General features: G+C 37.5%; 1 annotated feature.

Annotated features, from left to right (window-relative positions):
• Positions 226-1344: an enhancer, noted in NCBI's record as "enh3". NCBI's record gives the evidence for it as "EXISTENCE:reporter gene assay evidence [ECO:0000049][PMID:21408189]".

The raw sequence follows: 23984 nt of genomic DNA on the forward strand, positions 1-23984 counted from the left end.
TAGAGATTGTGAATGATGTCTCATCCACCATCCAGTGTTAGATATGGATTTAGCATTCCAGATCCCAGATAGGGCAGCCTGATGTGACAGTTCTCAATTTTTTTCAAGCTTCTCAGCCAATCAGATATAGATATGTACAGCTACAATCAGGACCAGACAACTGTGCAGGGAACTGCACTTATATAACTCCTCCATTATGTATGCTGTACAGAGGAGCAATGACCTCTCCAATAAATCTACCGTGAGCACTCCTGAGGCTCCATCAGCAATTGCAGGCAATCACTTAAGAATAGAAATAGTTATTTTTAAAAATATATTCCTTTCTAGGATAGCTGTAAAATGTGCATGAACTCCATGCCAGCCTGTGACAGGGAAATTTAGTTTTAGGTCACTCAATTTATGCCTCTGAGGGGAACAAATTCCCCAGAAGATTAAACTTTCATTAGGTTCTTTCTTTTATTTCCTGCCTTTGCACCCATCATATCGTAAGTTCCATAAATGATGTCTTACTAGGGCCATAAAATGGTTGCCCTTGAACTTTAGGAACCTGTCAAACACCTCTCTCTCTCCCCCTTACCCCCCAATAAAAAACCTTTTAGAGAATGGTACTTAAATTGACAGTTTCAGTGGTCACCCTCCCCTGCCTATGTCAATGAGAATGTGCCTAGAAGAGATGGAGAAAGTAATACGCACTTTAGACAATTGCATTGTGAAGCCGATAGTCCACACTCCCCTGCCCCCATCCCCCTATTGTTTTGACTAGACAGGGGATCATACTGAATAGATTAACAAGTCATTGACTTGGGACACCTACTGCTTGGAATGTCATTGCACTTGGAGTGAAAGGGGATAAAAATGTCTCCCTTCCATCCCTGATCTCTCTACTCTGTGGCAATATTTCTGCCACAGAAATACTTGGCTGTCAGCTCCAGCAAAGCAACCCTGGATAGCCACAGTAGTTTGTTGTCAGAATGAAAAATGGTTCCGTGCAAAAGGTCTCAGAGCCGGGATGCTAAAAATCAAGGAGTCCTAAGTCAGGCATTTGACAGAGAACTTTGGTCTCGCTGTTAAATACCACTTAATACTGTCCTGCCTGATAATCCCTGCTGTTTAACAACTGTGGGATCGTGGCTCAGCTGTGGCAGAATGCTTTTTCGACAGGGAGAAAATGGTCAGATGTCATCTATTTGCTTGAAAGAAAAGAAAATACATCTCTTAGCATCCAGCGAAAATGATAATGCTTAAAAAAAAAAGAAAATTGCAAATCCATTCTAGCTTTGATTCATTAGAGAGTTCACAGCCAAGAGAGAGAAATGAAACTCTAGCTGAGGTTAGCTATAGGTGAAGAACAAAGAAGCTTGATATAGCCATTAGTACTCTAGACAGTGCTCTGATACTCCAAATAGTTAGCTGGTTAGTGAAAAAAATTCAAGCTAGGCATCAAGTAATGCCTACAACTAACTTTTTTGCTCACTGTGTAGTCTTGGGCTTAGAACTGTGTACTAGTTCATGTGTTTGTTGGAGTGTGTGTGTGTGTGTGTGTGCGCAAGGCCACCATTACTGCAATAAATATTATAAACAACTTACTTAACAGTGCTAATTGCCTCTGTTGTTTTCCAAGCAAGATTTAATTATTTTAGTGCCAATTATCTCACCTAGAGCCACAAGTGATAGTTTTTATGACCTTTTATAAAAGTTTAGAGTTGAAATAACATGAAAAATCTAACCCAGTTTCCCCGTTTTTCTAATGGTTTCTTAGATAATATAATTAAATGATGACTATGCAAATGGACAGTTATTCTGTGATGCTTCAGAAGGAAGTATTTAAATAAACAAGCAGGATTCATAAAGAAATACAACTTAATTCAGTTTAAGGGTAACAAAAGTTTATCACCACAGTGGACCAAAACAAGTAGAAGCTTGATTAATCAAAATTTTCTAAGTCACTGAGAGTGTTCAGACAGACCAGGTAGCCTTTTCCACAGATACAGGGCATGGGATTATTTACAGAGGCATAGACTGTAATCTGTTACTTGTTCACCAATTTTTAGGATACTAAAATACGAAATAGATATACGGAGATTATATGAATCAGTTATCTAACACACAGTTATGTAGAATGATTTTGTCATTGGCCTAAGTATTGTATCCTCTTTAAAACTGCCTTTCAACTTTATTCCCTAGCTTGGAGTTTGATATCCCCATTTCTTTGATGTATAAATATTTTTTATATTATCCAAGAATAGTTAAGGCACATATGGAGAATTTGAATCCCCTGGAATGAGACTAGGTCACTGTTTCTTGATTTGGGGGATCTAGGAAGGCTACACTATGCATTTAAACCTGCATCTAATTCAATGGACATCTGTGACAGTCAATATTTCCTAAATGTTTCAAGTCACCGCTACTTACTCACCTCACTATACCTCAAATCTCAAACCACCAAACAAACAGACAAAAGCAAAGCAAAACAAACTCTAATGGTTTTGTAACTTCCTATTATATGTAACAGATTTGTAAAACTATGTCAGATTTTCCCTGCCATGTGGGAAGTTCCTCTAAATGAGCACTGATAGCTGACGAATGTTCATTTCACAATGACAACTAGCATAGGATCTTGCTTTCAGCAATATATAATACCATGAATTTTCTAAAACATATTACTGTTTCTAAAAAGCTATTGTTTGCCTACATGTAAAAAATAAGCTTTTAAAGACAACGACAGCTTCTTTTAACATATTTTAGTAACATATTTATAATCGCACATTATATTAAGATTACATTTGAAATAATTCATTGTCCACTGATATCTCAGAAAACCATTTTCTTTCAAAACCTTCAAGGAGAGGAGTTTTTAAAGGGAAAAACCTTTTGAGTCATTTATCACCTTTTTTGGCATAGTACGAATCTTCATCTCTTTTTTTTTTTCTTTTGTTGAGACAGAGGCTCACTCTGTCGCCCCGGCTGGAGTACAGTGGCGCCATCTTGGCTCACTGCAACCTCCACCTCCTGGGTTCAAGCAATTCTCCTGCCTCAGCCTCCCGAGTAACTGGGACTACAGGCACCCGCCACCAAGCCCAGCTAATTTTTGCATTTTTGGTAAAGACGGGGTTTTGCCAGGTTGGACAGGTTGGTCTGGAACTCCTGACCTCAGGTGCTCCGCCCACCTCAGCCTCCCAAAGTGCTGAATTACAGGGGTGAGCCACTGCGCCTGGCCCATCTTCACCTCTATTAAGTATTTCTGTCTCTGGCCTTTATGCATTGATGAAGGATGTTGTTGTTGGAAGTTATATCACAGGCCACATATGCCCATTTGGATTCCACGAACATGGTTGTTTTGGTTCAGTTTTCTGGTAGCTGTTCATCTGTGATAGTCAAACCAAGCTTATTTTTCAAAGGGATCCCTAAAGGCCTAGTTTACAAGGATATCATTTTCACACACCAAAAAAACCCTTATTTGCTCAGATAATTTTTATCTCTGTCTATAAAAAGCTAGTATTGATCAATTTACTTAAAGCTAATGTATCTTTTCAAACTACTAATTGCATTTCAAAATAAATAATTAATAGAGTAACCTATAATAGGAGAAGCCTTGCAAAGATTGAAATTTAAGGAGAATTATGTTTTTGTTTGTTTTGTTTTGTTTTGTTTTGTTTCAGACAGGGTCTCATCTGTCACCCAAGCTGGGGTGCAGCAGCGTGATCATGGCTTACTGCAGCCTTGACTTTCTGGGCTCAAACAGTCCTCCCACATCAGCCTCCTAAGTAGGTGGGAATACAGGCATGTGCCACTACATTCAGCTCTGTTTTTGTTGTTGTTGTTCTTGTTGTTCTTTGTCAATGATGATTGACAATGATGATTTTGTCAATAAAATAGACTTACATTTAGATATATATATATGAATTTCCTTTTAGATCCTACATTCTCCTTAGAATGTTAGACATTAAAATGCTCTGAGATTCTGCTGTTTAAAAAAAAAAAAACAAAAAAAACTAAGACTCAAATATAGTCATGTCTTCAACCGTATCTTGCAAGAGTTACATGAAGAATAAAAATAATGTGTATATATTGTCTGATATGGAATGCATACACAGCAAATAATAGCTGCTACTTTTACAATTAGCATTTGCTTAGTCAATGTTTATTTAATGAATAATATATGGCAGTCAATGAATATTTGCTATGTACTAAATGCTTTGCTTACAAGGTGTTATTTAACAATGGTAACTCTTCAATGAGAAATACACCTTTCAATCCAGCATTTTTTGAGGAGGAAATTGAGATTCACAGGACTTAAGTCACATACATGTCTAGAAGGTGGTCAGCTAAGTTTCCAACGTAGGTCCACCTGACTCAAAGTGTGCTATATTGTCCTAAATTGACATACTTTTTAATACATATGCCATATTCAAAACCATTATGGGACAATTGCAGAGTAATAAAATTTGTATCAGTAGTCACTGTTGAAGAAAAATACTTTATTTCAGCCCCCTCAAGATCTCTAGCATAATTGACCACTGGGACCAATGATACCAACTATAGCCAAACATTACTTGTTTTCTTTTTTGGATCTGCGTCTTGGGTCTCCAGACCGTGTGCAGAAGAAGGAAGTTCAGGTCTCTGTGTCCTCTGCTGGCACACCTGACTCATCTGGGTTGAGTCAGCACTCTTGCCCCGGGACCTTTATGTACCCTCCCAAGGTTTCTTTACTGCTGTCTTCTTACTAGTGTTTATGGTATACACATTTACTATCTGGGAGGATCAGCAGATGGAAACCCCATGACTTGCTAATTAGATCTCCCAAAGATAGTGTCAAATTAAAACCTGGCCCTCTAAATTCACATAAACACCAAGGGATGCAACTGCCAAAGATGGGGCTCTCCTGGAGAATTGGCAGCTTCTTTCTCCCTCTAACCATTCTCTTATCTGAACTGAAGAGATCTGCCTCCAGCACATTATTGCCCCCAGCACTTAATGAGACTTGAGTAAACAACAGTGGTGGTGAGCACAGGGTGTTTTCCTGGCCCAGGTGCTCGGATTTTCTGAAAATTAAATCCAGTGCTGAGGCAGATTGAAGGAAAGAATACATCTGCAGCTCAACCCCGTCAGCATGTGGAGTCAATTCTCTAGGTAGTGTAGCTGTCAGGGATCAGCTGGATTTGACTCGTAGCTCTGCTGTGCAGTCTCAGGCAAGTAACTTAAACCCGCTAGTCTCCTGTCTAGTCCTCAGCTTCCTAATTTGCATAATGAGGATCGGTAAGCTCATAGGGTTACTGTGAGTTTGGAAAATGCAGGCATAGCACTTGCACAGGCCTGCTCTTTAATAAGCCTTGAAAAATCTAAGCTCTCATTTGCTGCTACTTCTGGTGTAGCTATTGCTCAGTGGGCTGAAAGAGTAAAGGGAAATGTGGTCAAATCATTCCCAAGTCCTGTCTACATCAAGAACAAGACTTGAAGCAAGCATGGAAAATGGCCTTGACTCATCTTAGAAATCAGAGAGAGGGCCAAGGGTAGTGGTTCCCACCTGTAATCCCAATGCTTGAGAGGTCGAGGCAGGAGGATCACTTGGGCCCAAGAGTTTGAGACCAGCCTGAGCAACATAGTGAGACCCTGTCTCTAAAAAAAATACAAAAAGTAGCTGAGTGTGGTGGCCTGCACTTGGGGTCCCAGCTACTTGAGAGGCTGATGCAGGAGTATTGCTTGAGCCAGGGTGGTGGAGGCTGCAGTGAGCTATGGCCATTGCACTCTAGCTTGGGTAACAGAGCAAGTACCCATGTAAGAAAAAGAAAGAGAGAAAGAGAGAGAGAAAAGAAGGAAAGAAAGAAAAGAAAGAGAAAGAAAGAAAGAAAGAAAGAAAGAGAGAAAGAAAGAAAGAAAAGAAAGGAAGGAAGGAAGAAAGAGAAGAGAAGAGAAAAGAAAAGAAAAGAAAAGAAAAGAAAAGAAAAGAAAAGAAAAGAAAAGAAAAGAAAGGAAAGAAGGAAGGAAGGAAAAGAAAAGAAAAGAGATTCACTGAGACTCTGCCAGGTGAGCTGGAAATCCCACATGAATCCCTCAATCTCTGGTTTGATGGGATGTGCTTGCAAAGAAGACTGAAGAGAAAAAGAAAAAGAGAGAAAAAAGAAAGAAAGAAAGAGAAAGAAAAGAGAAAAGAAAAAGAAAGAAAAGAAAGACTCACTGAGACTCTGCCAGGTGAGCTGGAAATCCCACATGAATCCCTCAATCTCTGGTTTGATGGGATGTATTTGCAAAGCAGATTGAAGAGAATGTGTCAGAGACACTTCTAGTAGGTAACACGACAGGGTACAAAGCATTAGAGTTTTATCAGTTAACTTCGAAACTCAGCTCCATCACTCAATACTTTTTTTTTTTCTAAGTTAATTTCCTTGGACCTCAGTTTCCTCTTTTTCTTAAAATATTGATATAATACTTCCCTTCCCAAATTATTATTGAATTTAAATGAGATAATGTTTCTAAAGCATTTAACTCTTCTCCCACAAGCTGGGGAGCAATAATGTTAATTCTTCTACTCTTATACTTCTCCACTTTCCCCTCCTTACACTCTAGTGTTTATTTCATAATATGTAGGACAATAAAAATAAGTTACAGTGAAGCAAATAAGAAAAGGTAAAAGTTGTGAGTAGAACCAACGGAAAATGTGTAAGAAAAATTGAGTGCACAAATTTCTAAGCCTAAAAATAGGAAAACACAAAATATTAGATATGTTCAGAGGGCATCTAATAAATTGAGGGTCACATCAAGAGAGACAAATGCCCTATTTTCCAACAAAGCATTCATTGTTGCTACCGCAAGGGGCAAAATGCTATTCTGAGGTCAGATGACAGGTTTTGGGTTTTTGTTGTTGTTGTTCTTCGTAATAAATAAATATCCTTTCATGCTGTGTTGTTCCAACTTTTCAGTTGTTTACTCAAATAAAGTCACACTTCCACAAAAACCACTTATGATTCCAAAAAGACCATATATCAGAGTCACATGGAGGAGGCTGATAATGCCTCCACTTTGATTTGAGGCATTTTGGACTCCCTAAGAAAAAGAAAGGGTTGCCCAGTGAAAGAGTTCACAGCCCTATTTTTGGAACCTGTTTTTCCAGTACAGTAAAGAGACTCAAATATTAAGACCCTGAGTCCTATCCGGGCTCCATTTGAGTCAAATGTAATAGATGGGAGGCCTGACTCCAGAGACCACACAGCAAACCGCATCCTGACGCAGTGGCTCCACCAGGCACCTGCTGGATTGAGAAATGCAGGGCAAGTCAGCACTGATTCATTGCCCCTGATTGACAAGATACTATCATTCACCTTTTCCTGAGATAAACCAGAGTCTCTTGTGAAGACCTATACTAGGAAGTACATCCCACATTTCACAAATGGTAAAAATACATAGGTAAGAAAAACTCAAAAATACCTCCATAATTTTCAAAAACAAAATTCAGGGCCTTAGTCTGAATTTATATTAATGGAGATGAAGGGGACAAAACATTAAGTGGGGACTCCTTTTCTGCCATTGTGTGGGAAAATCCTGCATAATAGACAATAGTCTCCTTATTTTGTAGAGTAGGAAACTAAAACTTAGCTTAAATAACATACAATTAGCTAAGTGGACAGGATATGATTTAAGCTTAAGTCTTATGATCTTTCTACTCTCCCATCATACCTTTAACCTCTAACTTCTTTCCTTTCTTCACACTATCTTCTTGGCATGTGAGACTTAAGATTTCCTAAATTCAGGCCGGCCACGGTGGCTCACGCCTATAATCCCAGCATTTTGGGAGGCCGAGGCAGGCAGATCACGAGGTTAGGAGATCAAGACCATCCTGGCTAACACAGTGAAACCCCGTCTCTACTAAAAATACAAAAATTAACCGGGCATGGTGGTGGGCACCTGTAGTCCCAGCTACTTGGGAGGCTGAGGCCAGAGAATGGCGTGAACCCAGGAGGCGGAGCTTGCAGTGCGCCAAGATCGCACCACTGCACTCCAGCCTGGGCGACAGAGCAAGACTCTGTCTCAAAAAAATAAATAAATAGAAAAGATTTCCTAAATTCATAGCCTGATGCTGTTATATGATGGGTTTGAAACTTGTGCCTGAGCCACTGTAAGGAACAATGGTCAATTGTCTCAGTTGGGGACTAATTCTACACGCAATGAGAAGAGCACAAACTTAGAAGTCTTGTTTTTCTTTTCTTTCTTTTTTTTTTTTGAGATGGAGTCTTGCTCTGTTGCCCAGATTGAAGTGCAGTGGTGCAATCTCGGCTCACTGCAACCTCTGCCTCCCGGGTTCCAACGATTCTCCTGCCTCAGGCTCCTGAGTGCCTGGGATTACAGGCGCGATTTACCACGCCCAGCTACTTTTTGTATTTTTCGTAGAGACGGGATTTCACCATGTTGTTCAGGCTGGTCTCGAACTCCTGACCTTGTGATCCTCCTGCCTCGGCCTCCCAAAGTGCTGGGATTAAAGGCGTGAGCCACCACACCCGGCCATAGAAGGCTTGTTTTTCTACAGATCGAGTCAGGGTTTAGAGAATAGTGGAGAAAGAACAGAGTCATGAAACTTCAAGAATTTAGAAAGACATGTAAAGCCTTCAGTGCTGATAATTCTCAACTGAAGGTGATTTGAAAATGTCTAGAGACATATTTTTCGGTGTCACTACCAGGGAGGGGCAGGGTTATCATACTGGCATCTAGTGAGTGATAGCCAGGGATGCTGATAAACATCCTACAGTGCATAGGACAGGCCCCTCACCCTGGACCCCAAGAAAGAATAATCACGTTTAAAATGTCCATGTTGTAGAGGTTGAAAACCCTGTTGGAGACTATAAACTCCTTAAGTAGGACTATGGACAACTGAAAGAAACTGGATATTTATGAATAAATTAATGAGTAGATAAGTGAATGAATGAATACATGAATGAAACAATGAGACTTGAACTAACATTCAGGTTATTAAGTAACTACATCTGGTAGCACCACTGAGACGTGGAAAGGGGGTCTTGAATCATATCTTTATTAAAAGATTGTATACATCGCAATTAATATGTATGATTATATGCTTGTAATAACATCAGTTAATCCAGAGGGTGTTAAAGATAAATATATTTATATCCATTTTCCACTCTCTGACTCCAACATGGTGGCTTGTGCAGATAATAAATAATTATGTGAAAAATTATAATTATGTACATCATTAAAAGTTTCCAATACTTATTATTGTATTCTTTTTTTAATTCCTTGAAACTCATGCCTTGTAGTGTGTACTTTTGCTTTAGCTTTGATTTCAAGAACAAACTAGCTATAATACAGGGACTGCTGTCAATAATAAGACTTTTGCTGTTAGACTCTCTCTCACTTTCCCTCTCCTTTAAGTTTGGGCCATATTCTCAACAGACATTAGTCAACCAAACTGGGGCTGGTGCAGGTGGGGTTGTTCAAGCTTGTAATCCCAGCATTTTGGGAGGCCAAGGTGGGAGGATCGCTTGAGCCCAGGAGTTTGAGACCAGCTTGGGAAACATAGGGAGACTCTGTCTTTACAAAAAATACAAAACTGGCTGGGTGTGGTGGCATGCAGCTGTAGTCCCAGCTGCTTGGGAGGCTGACGTGGGAGGATCTCTTGAGCCCAGGAGTTTGAGGCCACAGTGAACTATGACTGCAATAATGCACTCCGGCCTGGGCAGCCGAACAAGACCATAGTCACTAATTAAAACAAACAAACAAAAAACCACAAGTGCAAAGAGGGAGGGGAAAAACATTCATAAAAACTATCACCCTTCTCTGCACATGTAAAGCAACCAACCAATAACTTCACTTCCTGCTATGATTGGTATTATTATAGTGCAGCTCAGGAAGCTGAGTTTCATTACAATAAACCTATGGTTTCACTAAGGCATTTTCCCATGAGAACATTTTAATTAATTTATTATTTGCAAATGAAGCTACAGGTGTTTGAGTGGGTTGGTAGTAGCAGTGATGTCTGTGTGTGTGTGTTCGCACGCGCTAGAGCGCATGTGCATGAGTGTATGTGTGCCTTAATTGCTTCTATATCTGCCTCTCCGGCTCAGCCTGTCCAGGCCAGCTGGCAGCCCCCAGCAACTGATTCCCAGACAAGTCTCTGCCGGCAACTTGTCACGTGGTGATGGGATGATTCTGTCAGGCCCACGCAGCTATGCAGGAAAATAAAATTGTCATAATAAGATGCTGGCTTCTTGGCAACTCGACCCTAGTTCTGGGGTAGAGGTTGGCAGTCATCCTCCTTAGAGACTGAGATGTTCTAACTATGATCAAATGTTTAGATATTTTTTAAAGCTGCTTCTTTGTCCCAAGGAAGATTTTGTTCTCTCATGCCAATGCTAGCACCTTACTAATGATTTTCAGATATATTTTCTAACCTAGAGATATCAACTAAGACTTGGTCTTGCTCTCTCAGCACAAAACATTTGCAACTCGGTTTGGGGGTTTCAACAAAGTGCCACTTAAACTTGACAGGCAAAGTTTCCAATATGGCTATTTCTTAGGAGGGAATTGGCATGGTAGAAAAACCTATGACTTTGGGGTTAGACTGAGCTGAGCTTTAATCCAAGTTCTCCATTCAAGTAGGGATTGAGCAACATAGCTAAATACTAGCTTGGGAGTCTAGCTTTGCCCATTAATAAAATGGTAAGAAAAACAACTATTTTTGGACCATTGTCAAGATTAGCAGAATGTGAAGATGAGCTATTTGACACATAGTAGGCACTCAGTAAATGTCCATTAATTATTAATGCCATCACTATTATTTTTCTATAAACCCTCCAATAACTATTGGGTTCTTTTTAATTCTCAGCTCTATGCTTCCCATTTTAAAAATGATTCTATTTTCTGTATTTTTAGTAGAGAAGAGGTTTCACCGTGTTAGCCAGAATGGTCTCGATCTCCTGACCTCGTGATCCACCCGTCTCGGCCTCCGAAAATCAGCTGGGCGTGGTGGTGGGCGCCTGTAGTCCCAGCTACTCGGGAGGCTGAGGCAAGAGAATGGCGTGAACCCGGGAGGCGGAGCTTGCAGTGAGCCAAGATCGCGCCACTGCACTCCAGCCTGGGTGACAGAGCAAGACTCCGTCTCCAAAAAAAAAAAAAAAAAAAAGATTGCATTTTCTAAATTGAATATACCAAAGTAAACACTTAAAGCAAAGCAAAGCAACCTATTTCTGCATTGCTCTTTTCCCTACCATGTCAACTTATGACTATAACTTGCTATGGTTAATTATTTAGCTGTGTCTGTGCTCTGTCTCAAGTTAAAAGTTAAGTCCCTCTAGGGAAGGAACTATGTATTTACCACTTTGTGTATTTTTCACTTCCTCACTGTACTAGAAATTACTAGTCTTAGTAGAGGTCTCAGAATATTCACTGACATGCTTCTGGGTCATAATCAAACATTTAGGGAGGAATATTACTCAATTTAAGTAAAAATATTTAAGTTGAATTACCAATAGGATCTATAACTTTCAGAGTATCCTGCATCTACGGTTTTAAACTCAGGTGGAGACTAATTTATAAAAAATAAGGATAAAGTATAAAAACAATAAAAATAAATAGATAAATAAACAAATAAAAGTCATGGATGACAGTTTTTAGCATTTATATTTTAGGGACAGAGTCCAATATGCTACTATAATATACCTCCATGTGTATCCCTGTTCAAAAGCTTATTGCTAATTAAAATAAACATTAGATTCCTGAGGTTTACTGAAAATTTTATTGCATTAAAAAAAAGCAAGTGTATGTGAGATGGTAAAAAAAAAAAAGAGCAAGAGAGAGATAAAAGTTAATTAATAGAATCTGGCCTTCTTCCAAAATATACTCTGAGTTTGAGGTATTTGGGATTGGGTAATTTAGGTTGGTTGGTATGTGAAAAACATCTGTCATGATGAGTCTTGCTATAATATGCGACTCACTGGGAAGGCACGGCACCATCTTCATCATCACGATGGGCTTCAAATATGTGCCACTTTCGGCATGACACCATTAAGTGTCTGGGTCCTTATTGGGCAATATTCTGTATTGATTATAATATGTTTTACCTTCTGAGGTTGGCTTGGAAAGTTGAATGGTAAGCAAAGTCATTAGTTGCCCTTGGAGTTGATTTATATCTCCATTGGGAGGTAGTTTTTCCACCACTTTTTCTTAAATGGAGTTGGGTTTGGAGTACCCTATCTGGTACTATTTATAATCTATTAGTCCCCATTTACTACAGGGTCTGGAACTAATTGCACATAAAAATTCCCAACTAGTTTCTGAATCAAAATAGTTATTTTTATGGCTAGAGCCAGGTTTTCCAAAGGGTGTACCATGAAATACTAGTGCCATAAGATGCTCCCCAAAAAGAATTTTATTGTTCAAATAAATTTGAGGGAAAACAGTCCATTGATGCTCTCTTTTGTTGGTATATTGCTAGATTTTGGGGTCCACAATAGCAGAATCAGTGTAAACATTATTATCGTTGAAGCAACTAGCATAATGACCAGCAAATAGAAGACATGTAAAAATATTATCGATAAATTAATGAACACTTAAACAATTCTGCAGTAAAGAAAGCACTTAGCTTTGCTCATTTAAACATTTCCCAATTTGTAACAGTCATGGAACCATTTTTTCGCATAAAAAACATTATAAACAGCTTATCTTCCAAAGAACATCTTGTAGGGAACTCTTGTCTAGAGTATTAAACACATTCATTAAAATAATTTTATGTATACATTCACTCATTCAATGTTCATGTTTTAGTACCTACTAAGTTCTATGTTCCGGGAACATATTAACAAAACATAAGCTCTGCCATTATTGATCTTTTAGACTACTAGGAGAAATATGACAGAGTCTTGTTTTTAAAACAAGGCAACATGTAGTAAGTGTCATATGAGAAGTGGGAATACGAAGATTACAAAGTGAGAAATGAACAAAAAATATCCACATTTGGATATCCTCCTCATGATATAAAATTTAAGAAGTAGTGTTCATTTGTATGATTTATGAAAGGTTATTTCTCACACTGCAAAGGTCAAGAAAGTACCACAAAATAATGAAATGCTCTCACTGTAAGACAAAAAGGAGTAGTGGAGACTGTTTAAAAAGTTTATGCTCAGCCGGGCTTGGTGGCTCCTGCCTGTAATCCCAGCACTTTGGGAGACCGAGGCAGGCAGATCGCCTGAGGTCAGGAGTTCGAGATCAGGCTGGCCAACATAGTGAAACCATGTCTCTACTAAAAATACAAAAAATTAGCCAAGTGTGGTGGCAGGCGCCTGTAATCCCAGCTACTCGGGAGTCTGAGGCAGAAGAATCGCTTGAAACCGAGAGGCGGAGGTTGCAGGGAGCCAAGATCATGCCATTGCACTCCAGCCTGGGCAACAAGAGTGAAACTCCATCTCAAAAAAAAAAAAGAAAAAAAAAGTTCATGCTCTGTTCTCACTCATAAGTGAGAGTTGAACAATGAGAACACATGGACACAGGATGGGGGACTTCACACACTGGGGCCTGTTGGGTTGGGGGAAAGGGAGGGAGAGCATTAGGACAAATACCTAATGCATGCGGGGCTTAAAACCTAGATGACAGGTTGGTGAGTGCAGCAAACCACCATGGCACATTTATACCTACGTAAAAAACCTGCATGTTCTGTCTATGTATCCCAAAACTTAAAGTAAAATAAATAAATAAATAAAATACCTATAAAAAAGTTCACACTCATATTAAAGGACGCAGTTGGCAAATGGATAGAACTAACTATTATCATGGACTTCATGCTGGCAAGTCTTCTGATCTGTTATGAGAAGTCACAAATCTGGATTTTGATCTACAATATTCTCATTATATCCTTATTTATTTTACATATCAACAAAGCTGACTCCATTACACACATATACCTATATACTTGTAAGGTAGATTAAATAGACACATTAACCTTTTTTTCAAAAATTATGCTAAAATTACAATAATGCATTTTTTTTTTTAAATACGTGAGCCTTGAGGATGTACAAAATTGGTGAAGGACGATAGTTGAAATGTTGTGGAAGCTGGTAAGGGGATGGCCCAGTGGTAATGGATTTAGCTGACCCAAGAAAGCAAAATCCCAAGCTTGGAATGAGGAAAGCTAAATTCTCTCAGAATTTTCAAAAAAGCTCAGTCAGTGGTATCTCATACCTCTGCAACTCGGGGAGAAGGCAGGATGGCTAACATCAGAAGGGCTGAGAAGCTGATGGAGACATATTGAGAGATCCCCACCTGTCCACTGTAACACATTCTGAGCAAACTGTTCTTCCCTACACGTTTGATACTATAGATTGGTCCCGTGGCTAGTATAAAATCGAGGGTCTGTGGATTGCAGGATGGCAGACAAGGATGAGAATGTGGATACTGTAAAGAATGAAAACAAGGGATTAAGCAGCCACATGCATCCTGAATCTTAAAAGGAATCACCCTGCACCCCAGCCTTCTTTCCCCATTTGGCACCAAACAGATGGGTGACCCGATTGTTAATCTTCAGACAGGAAATTGGGAAAATGTTTTCCTGAAAATCTGACTAGTGTTCCCTTAGGATCCTGACATCAAGGGATCCCAAACCAATAGCTCCCCAAATTATTCTACAGTAAACCTAAGAGCAATTCCAACAGCATGACTCTAATTGGTGGATTAGTCTTCATAGAGCAGAAAGCCCCAAATCAACAGATAATTTTTTTTAAAGACTCTAACATAGAAGATAGTGGTCAAAATGAATAAAGAGAGGTGGAAGAGAAACTATACAGGAAAAAAACAAATTTTTCGAAGTGCGACTTATAAGTGGGACCTATAAGCCTCTGTAAGTGTAGACAGTGGAACATATTAACCCAGTGAAAAGACTTCTGCCAGATATTTTGTACGAGGCTCATACTGTAGTTGCACCAGGCATACCAGCTTGATGAGTCTTGGGTTACTCAAGCCTTACTCATGAGCTTGCCCGCTGATTTACCCAGAAAGAGATTTTGTAAACTCTCAGGGAACTGAAACCAGAGCTACTGCTCAGTTTATTTTCTCTGTGGACATCTCATGTAAGTCGTAGCAACATTACCCTATCCTTACACAGCCAGGATTGTGCTTGCTACTCAGGTACACAAACTGAACAGTAAATTGTTTAGATACATGCACAGGTGTACAAATTTAAAATCAAATAAGCAAGTAAGTGAATGATTATCCGAAAAGTCAGGATAGTGATTATTTCCAGAGGAAGGAGGGTGTATTAGATTCCTATGACCACTATTAAATAAATTACCACAAACTTAGTGACTTCAAGCAACATGAGTGTATTCTCTTATACTTCTAGAATTCAAGGGGTAAAATCAAGATATTGGCAGGGCTGTCTTTCTTCTGGAGGCATTATGAGAGAATCTGTTTCCTTTTTTTTTCTAGCTTCTAGAGGCCTTCTGAATTTTTTTTGGTTTATGGCTCATCATGACAACCTTTGGTTTCCTCATCATATCTTTCTTTTCTGACTCTGATTCCTCCCGCACCCTCATATGAGGATCTTTATGATTACTTTGAGCCCACTTGGTTAATCCAACATAATCTCCCCATCTCAAAGTTCTTACTTTAACCACAGCCGCGAAGTCCCTGTTGCCACCTGAGGTAACCTATTCACAGGTTCTGGGGATTAGGATAGAGACATCATTGAGGTGTCATTATTCTATCACAGAAGGGGATGCAATCTGGGAGAGTCACTTGGGGGTTTTTGGTTTAAGATAAGCTGCACAATGGATGGCAAGTGTTTATTTTGCTTTTTATCATTCAACTGTACATATATATTTTATATACATTCCTGCAAGTCACATGTTTCACAAAAATGGGCTACACGTGTTATATATATGGGTCAAGTTTAGCTCCTTGTGTCTAGTTAGCAAATTTAATCTAGGATAATACTTATGTTGCAGGTTTACAACAGTGAGAAAGATGATACAGAGATTACTTCCTGCTTTTCTCTCTGACACAACTGTCTTTTTTTTTTTTTTTTTGAGACAGAGTTTCACTCTGTCACCCAGGCTGGAGTGCAGTGGCGCATTATCACAGCTCACTGCATCCTCAACCTCTCACACTCAGATGATCCCCCCACCTCAGCCTCCTGAGTAGCTGGGACTACAGGCATGCACCACCACAGCCAACTAATTTTTGTAGATATGGGGGTTTCGCTATGTTGCTCAGGTTGGTCTCAAACTTCTAGGATCAAGATATCTGCCTGCTTCAGCCTCCCAAAGTGCTGGAATTACAGGCATGAGCCACCACGCCTGGCAGTGATTTCTTCTTAATTACAGCCTAATTTCCTTTGGACTTGAGGCTGTAAGCAAGAGCAATGTGTTTGTCTTTTAGAATGAAGTAGGGCAGTAGTATTAACAGTTTCATGTAATGGTCAATTGATATATGTCATTGTATTAGGCTCTTCTTGTATTGCTATAAAGAAATACCTGAGACTGGGTAATTTATAAAGAAAAGAGGTTTAATTAGTTCTTGGTTCTGCAGGCTGTATAGGAAGCATGGCACCTGCATATGCTTGCCTTCTGGGGAGTACTCAGGGAGGTTTTATTCATGACAGGAGGTAAAGCGGGAGCTTGCATGTCACATGGTGAAAGCAGGAGGGAGAGAGACAGAGAGAGAGAGAGAGAGAGAGAGAGAGAGTGAGTGGGGTGTCAGTCACACACTTTCAAACAACCATATCTTGCAAGAACTCACTCACTATCCCAAAGACAGCAGCAAGCCATGAGGGATCTGCCCCCATGATTCAGGCACCTCCCACCAGACCCCACCTCCAACTCTGTGGATTACATTTCAACATGAGATTTGGCTGGGGACATATATTCAAACTATATTAGTCATCAAAATGATAATTTGAATTTGATTTTGTTTGGTCTTAGAGGAGACATTCTTGAGGCTCATTTGAAAAAACCAATATCCCAGGTCATTCTAGACTATCTATCCTTTCCATATGTTTCAAGAACTTAACAGACTTTATACAAAAAGCCGAATATGGGGTCTAAGGAATATTTAGTTGCATGGTATATGACTAATTTTTCACCCCATGGGAGACAAAAGCGTATTCTTGGTCAGCCTCTTAGCATTTCCAGGGATCCATTTTTCTTTCCTTTCTTCCAAACTAATAAATTCTCCAGGAATGCTGAGAAACCTTCAGGCCTAAAGAATTTAGAAATTGTGGATGGTATACTGGTAAAAGCAATCAATAAAAAACTATAACATTAGAGTCTACTTGCAAAACAGGAGGAGTAGCAGGCAATCTCGACAGTGGAAATAGCCCAGGTAAACTTACATTCAATTGTAAATTGTTGAAGTGAGATACTCAACATATTGCATCTGGGAGGTTTCCCCTGAGTGTTGAATCTCCTCAAGTGATCAAACCCAAAATTTCTCTGGAAATAAAGTCAGAAATTGAATGATTTTGAAAAGGAATTTTCTTGCAGTGTTTGTCATTTTTTCCTAGTCTGGGTAAGTGGCATAAGGTAGAGAAAATTTAGAAAGAATAAAATGTTTTCAGTTATTACAAGAATGAAAATATCAATATTTTAAAATATCCAAACAAGTTGAAAGATTATTGTTGCTGTCACAAATTAGAGATGAGCAGCTGGGAAATATTGATTGTCAAATTTTCAAGTTTGGTATCTTTTCAAATATAAAATAATGTGTTTCCTAGGTGGTAGTTTAAACCATCCGAGTACATGGCTTCTTTAGAATTAACTTTAAAGGAGTTTTCTTTATTTTGGCCTAAGAGGTGATACTATCCCAGGCATCATAAAAGCATAGCATTTGAAATTTACCTTTTTAAAATGTAGATAGATTTGAACTAGAAAATAAAGAATTTGATTGAGATATGATTTCATTTGGATATTAGCAAGAAACATCAGCCAGAATGCTGTATTTGCATAGATCTGATGCCTTAAATTCAGGCTAACTTATCCTGTTACCAGCAAACAAAAGTCTCTGACATACTTGCCCTATGTGAAACAAATGCCCTGAGCTACTTCTTTGGCTTTGAACTCCATTACTGTGTGGTTCTGGTATCTTACCTTGGTTCTGATCTCATATTTGGTCCTGCTGTCATGTTTGGAGCTCAGGAGATCTGATCTTCTTGGTTTGGGACCCAAGTCACCCCTAACCCATGACCATAACTAGCTGCACCTTTTAATGGGGAGTGCTTCAGGCATCTCTACATCTCACAGTCTAGGCAAAACTCACTCCTGGTCATGAAAAGGAAGATATTCCCTTACCTTAGCCTAAAAGTCTCTTTTCAAGTCTTGATCTCCTGCTCTAGGATTGAAAAGCTGTCAACACTGTAGTAAGGTCTCTGAATCTCGTCAAGATAAAACACTGGTGCATTCCATAAAGTCAAGTTTGTTGTCGTCGTTGTCCTATTTTGGTTTTGGTTTTCATTTTAACTTGCACTGAACATGGGTTATGATCAGCCAAGTCCAAGCTGAACTACTATGAAGTTTAGCCTAGTTCTTTTTCAGTGTTTTTTATCAGTCATTCACAGACTCTTGGGAATTACTTAAAATCTTTATTTTCTAAACAACTCGCAAGGGAAGAGAATAGGTAAAAGGAACAGAAAAGAATCAATGAATCAAATACTTTTAGATGGTTTTGGATTAAATATGGTTTAGAACTTTCTTTACTGCTGGATATTTGAGAATATATAACATGCTTTGTGCCTTTGAATAGCCACATTAGTTCAATCTTGTTTATAGTTTTCCTAATGTAAATTTTGAAGCAGGTGTGTGTGTGTGTTTGTGTGTATGTGCATGTATTTGTGTGTCTCTGTGTGTGTGTGTGTGTGACAGAAAAAGAGAGAAAGAGAGAGTATGAATGATATATTGGGAATTTTTGTTTTTAATAGAAATCTAATGTAAATGTTAGCCCAAGAATATTGTAAGTCTTTGCCTGCAATCTCAAAATAACAGTGACAAAATTTCAATGGATTCAGCAAATTAAATTACTAAAGAAGAAAATCTAAACTGCTTCTCCTGAAGTAGCTCCTGAGCAACTTTCCCAGAATAATGTATCAATTTTATGCATTTGTCTTTGTGACAAGTTTGCCTCATTTTAATTATTATACATTAATAATAGTAATAATAATAGTTCCAATGATACCTGCAATTTATGAAGCATTAAATTATGGATTTAGCACTATGCTTTACATTTATCTCATTTTAATGAGAAATATACCAAGGCTAAGTTAAGAATATTGCTCAACATTGCGCAAGTAATAAGTGCTGGAACTCACATGTGAATGCAACACTGCCTATCTCCATTGGATCTTTCATACAACAAATCATTGTTGAGAACATATATGTCCAAGGGGTAAGGTTTTTATCCTAGTTAAACCTCCCATGAAGATGGTAAGACAAGTTAAAGTAACTCAGTGATGCCCACTCTAAAAAAGTGAAGCAGTAATGTTTGAGTAACATAAGGAAGAGTGAGTCCTATAAGCTCTGAGGGAATGTATTTCAATAGAGGAATGCACAAATGCAAAGACATGAGGCAGGGGTGATACTGATGAGAACTGAAAGAAGACTGCAATGAAGGAAGACTCCAGAGAAGTAGGCAATGTATCATGCAATGCAGGCAGAAGACTAGACAGAGGCTAGATCTTAAAGAAATTGGTATGCCATGATGAGAAGATTATGTTTTATTTTAAATGAAATGGACATATATTGGAGCAGGGAAGTGGCATGATATGATTCACAATTTAAAAATATTTTATCTAATTTAGGGACTAGATGGTAAGTGCTGGTGGTGAGGGAAGAGACAAAAGTGGATGCTAAAGAGACCATTTAGAAAGCTACTACAAAGATTTAATTCTGATTTTCTTAGGTCAGTATAATATATCATGCAATCCATATATGCAAATTTCAATTTTTAATAGCAAAATTTAAAAAGTAAAAAACAAGGGTGAAATTAATTTTATTAATATATTTTATTTAGCTCAAAACACCCAAAATATTATCACTTCAACATGCAATCAATATGTGAAAGTACTAAGGATATGTGTTACATTCTTTCTTGGGTACCAAATTTTTGACATGTGGTATGTATTTGCCCCTATAACACAATACAAACTAGCCATTTTTCAAGTGCTCAGCAGCTACACATGGCTAGCTTTAATACTGGACAGTACAGATATAGGCAAATATTAATGATGGTTTGATTAGAGCGATTGCAATGGAAATGGAGAGAAGCAGATTAATTGGACATAAGTTTTATAGATTTAGTAATAATAGGAGTTGCAGAGGAATCTAGGATGAAACAACATTTTTAGTAACACTACTCAGAGATGGTGGTGTTATTAAGATAATAAAACTGGTGATTTTATGGAAGATGTTTAAAGAGGAATCAAAGTGCCAGTCCATAACAAGTGAAAATACTGCTTCTCATTAGTGGTAACTAATGTCTCTCAACCCACCTTCTTGCTAATACCACTTAACAAAGAATATGGTGGTTCACAGCCTCCTGAATTAGAATGACGAGAATGCATATAAAACTGCACATTCCCAAATGTTACTAGAGTTCCACTGAATTACAATATCAGAGTTTCCGAAACTTTAAATATACAGTAATTTAACTGTGGTGTGGTGAAGCTAGTTCAACGTGACTTGCACTTGCAAGAGTTGACTGTTACATTTTCAGGAATTTTGAGAGTGTGTTGATGTCATGTCCATAGCTTGAAATTGATCACAGTGGGAGTATTTACACTATGAAAATGAGCAAATGCTACAAATCAGGGCTTTTTTTTTACCCCCAGAGTTCATTTGTAAGCACACACACAACAGAAGGGACAAGAGAACAAGAAGAGAATATGAAGAAAGCGCTCCACACACACACACACATTAAGCATGCATAAAAGCCTTGTAAAATACAGCAATAAAACAAAACAGAACAATGGTAAATCATTGTTAGAAAGATAAATCTTCTGGTTCCAGAACAGAAGATAAATTTAAAAGAATACAATGCATCAAAGTTGATACATTCAAGAACTGAAATTCTAATACTGAGAAAAGCATGCTTGAGACTGTAGCTCCCCTCCTGCATATTAAGAAGTCCCTGCATACAGCCTAGAGTCTAAAGGAGGTAGCTAAAATCCTTGTCAGTGACAGGATATGGATTAAATAACTTGTCTTCATGGGGAAAATATAATATTGTATATGCAGACTAAAATCTGCATATAAAATGGGCAATCCTTAAGAATTTCTTAAAAGCATAACTTTGAAATAAGTAGTTAAGGAAAAATAATTTATAAAATAATAATCTACAAAAGTCAGGAAAATAGTTTTATACTACATAAAATGATAAAGATGTAAAATTATAAGTATAAATACAAACACTAATGAAACTATCAAAACAATTTAATCAATCAAGTTCTGGTAATAAAGCAGAGGATGGAAAAATAAAGTAGAAAGGTAATCACAATTTCTTGGTTGCTCAGTCAATAGATACTTTCTAGAAGATGAGCTTGAAAGTAATATTGCAAAGTAATATTGGTTGTAAATAAACTACTATATGTTGGTACAAATGTAATTGTGTTTTTTACCATTACTTTTACACCAACCTAATAGAATGAAAAATAGCAAGTAAAACTTTTGCACAATCAGGTTGTACAGGGCACACAACAGAGCTAGGAAAAAAGAAATTGTGGTTTTTACCATTACTTTTACATCAACCTAATAAAATGAAAAATAGCAAGTAAAATTTTTGCACAGAGTGTACAAAGCACACAACAGAGCTAGGAAAAAAGATATCATATTGTAAAAGGAAGAAACAAAAGAAGCAGCAGCATGAAAAATATAAAGCATAACATAAATTATGACTTATACTCTTAGAAATTATCAGTAATGGTAAATATATATTTATAGATAATGTATAAAATGTGTATATATAATGTATAAAAATGTAGCAAAGAAAGCAAAAAAAGCACCTCCTAGGCTAAACTCTGTGCTATAGAACTGTATACAGACTCTACTCCTATACCATGTAACAGTGACAGCAAAACAGTGATTTGACAGAAGTGGAGGACAGGCAGGATGGGGAGAGTAGGCAGGTGGTAGCTGAAAATAAAAATGTAGACCAAGGAACAGTAAACAAATGAATAATTAAAGGAAACAAGAATTTTTACTTTAACATAAACAGCTGAACTCAGAAGGAGAGCATTTAAAAAGGCAATATAGGCCAGGCACAGTGGCTTACACCTATAATCCCAGCACTCTGGGAGGCCAAGGCAGGTATATCATGAGGTCAGGAGTTTGAGACCAGCCTGGCCAAGATGGTGAAACCTCATCTCTACTAAAAATACAAAAATTAGCCAGGCACAGTTGTAGGCTCCTGTAATCCCAGCTACTTGGGAGGCTGAGGCTGGAGAATCACTTGAACCTGGGAGGCGGAGACTGCGGTGAGCCGAGATCGTGCCACTGCACTCTAGCCTGCAAGACAGAGCAAGACTCCATCTCAAAAAAAAAAAAAAAAAAAAAAAAAAGGCAATATAGGTAACATGCAAATTATAACAATGAACATCTAATAGATACAATTATCTGTGCACCAATAAGAATGACACATTTCTTAAGGCAAAAACAATAGGAAATTTAAGAAGTAGACAAAAGCCCAATAGTAGTAGAATTAAATTTATCTTTCACATCCCTAACAAATAAGGCAAATAAAAATAACTTTGAAAATTAAAAACATTAAAAGAAATGAATAAAGGAGACCTAATTGTGTGTGTGTAGGTGTGTATATTTTAGCTTCAATTCAGAAAAAAAGGAATAAGACTTTACAAGAGTCCATATGACATCCACAATTGGCATACATGAAGCCATAATAAACCTTTAATAAGCTTCAAGAAGACAGGAACAGGACAGTACAACAGAAAACGTTTTCTTGTCAAAGTAAAAGATGATATGGTAACAGAAGGGAAAAAAACACAATGAGAAAATATTTAAAATCTAAAATTCGTTAACTAAAGGTAAAAATTAAATTCAAGATCATAGAAAAGTCTAAGTAATAATGAAATGAAATGAATACTAATGAAATTTAAACAATAGCTATTAGAAATTTTGCAAGATTCAGTTAAGAGAAGAATTCACATATATAAATGCTTACATTAATACTAAGTGAAGAATAAGAATAACAAAGTAAGCATCAAACTCAAGAAGCAAAAAATAACATATATCTAAATAAAATTAAAAGGAAGAAATCCCAAAACAAAAGTGTCATTCAAGAATTTGATAATATAAATAGAAATGATAATAACAGTAATAGTAGCTCAAATCATTACATACTTAATCTATGCAAGGCATTATTCTAAATGACTTCAATGTGTTAACTCAGTTTGAATTTATAGTCCCTAACAATGAGGATCAAGAAAACAAAAAGCTGAGTATTTGACTAAATAAATAAAATACTAGAAAGATTGATTAGAAAAAATGGAAGGCAAAAATATAAACAAAATAAGTATAAAAAAAGAACAAAAGTACCACTGGAGAATTTAGAAAAAAATTAGAAAGTATGTCAATAGCATTTGCTGGAAATTTTGAATCTAAGATTAAACATATCCTTTCTAAGAAAAAAAAAAAATCTGACTTCCCAAAATTGACTTGAGAAGACATGGAACACCTACAAATATTAAAAAAAAATTAATGAAATTTAATCAGTTATCAAAAATGTCTCCTCACTCCCTCAGTAAAACATCCTCCACAGCTCAGATGACTTTGGAGATGATCTAAATACTAATACACAAAATATCATGTGACAATCGTCTCTCAAAATCAGTTCCAGAGAACAAGAGATAAAAGTTATTGATTCATTATGATCCTGTACAGCTCCATATCAAAACCAAATGAGGATAATAAAATAAACTAAAAGTATAAATTATCTTTTATGAAATAATGTGAAGATCTAAAAAAATTACCAAACTTAATCCACATTAAACT

Source organism: Homo sapiens, chromosome 17 (genome assembly GCF_000001405.40).
Source record: "Homo sapiens chromosome 17, GRCh38.p14 Primary Assembly".
Lineage (NCBI taxonomy): Eukaryota > Metazoa > Chordata > Mammalia > Primates > Hominidae > Homo > Homo sapiens.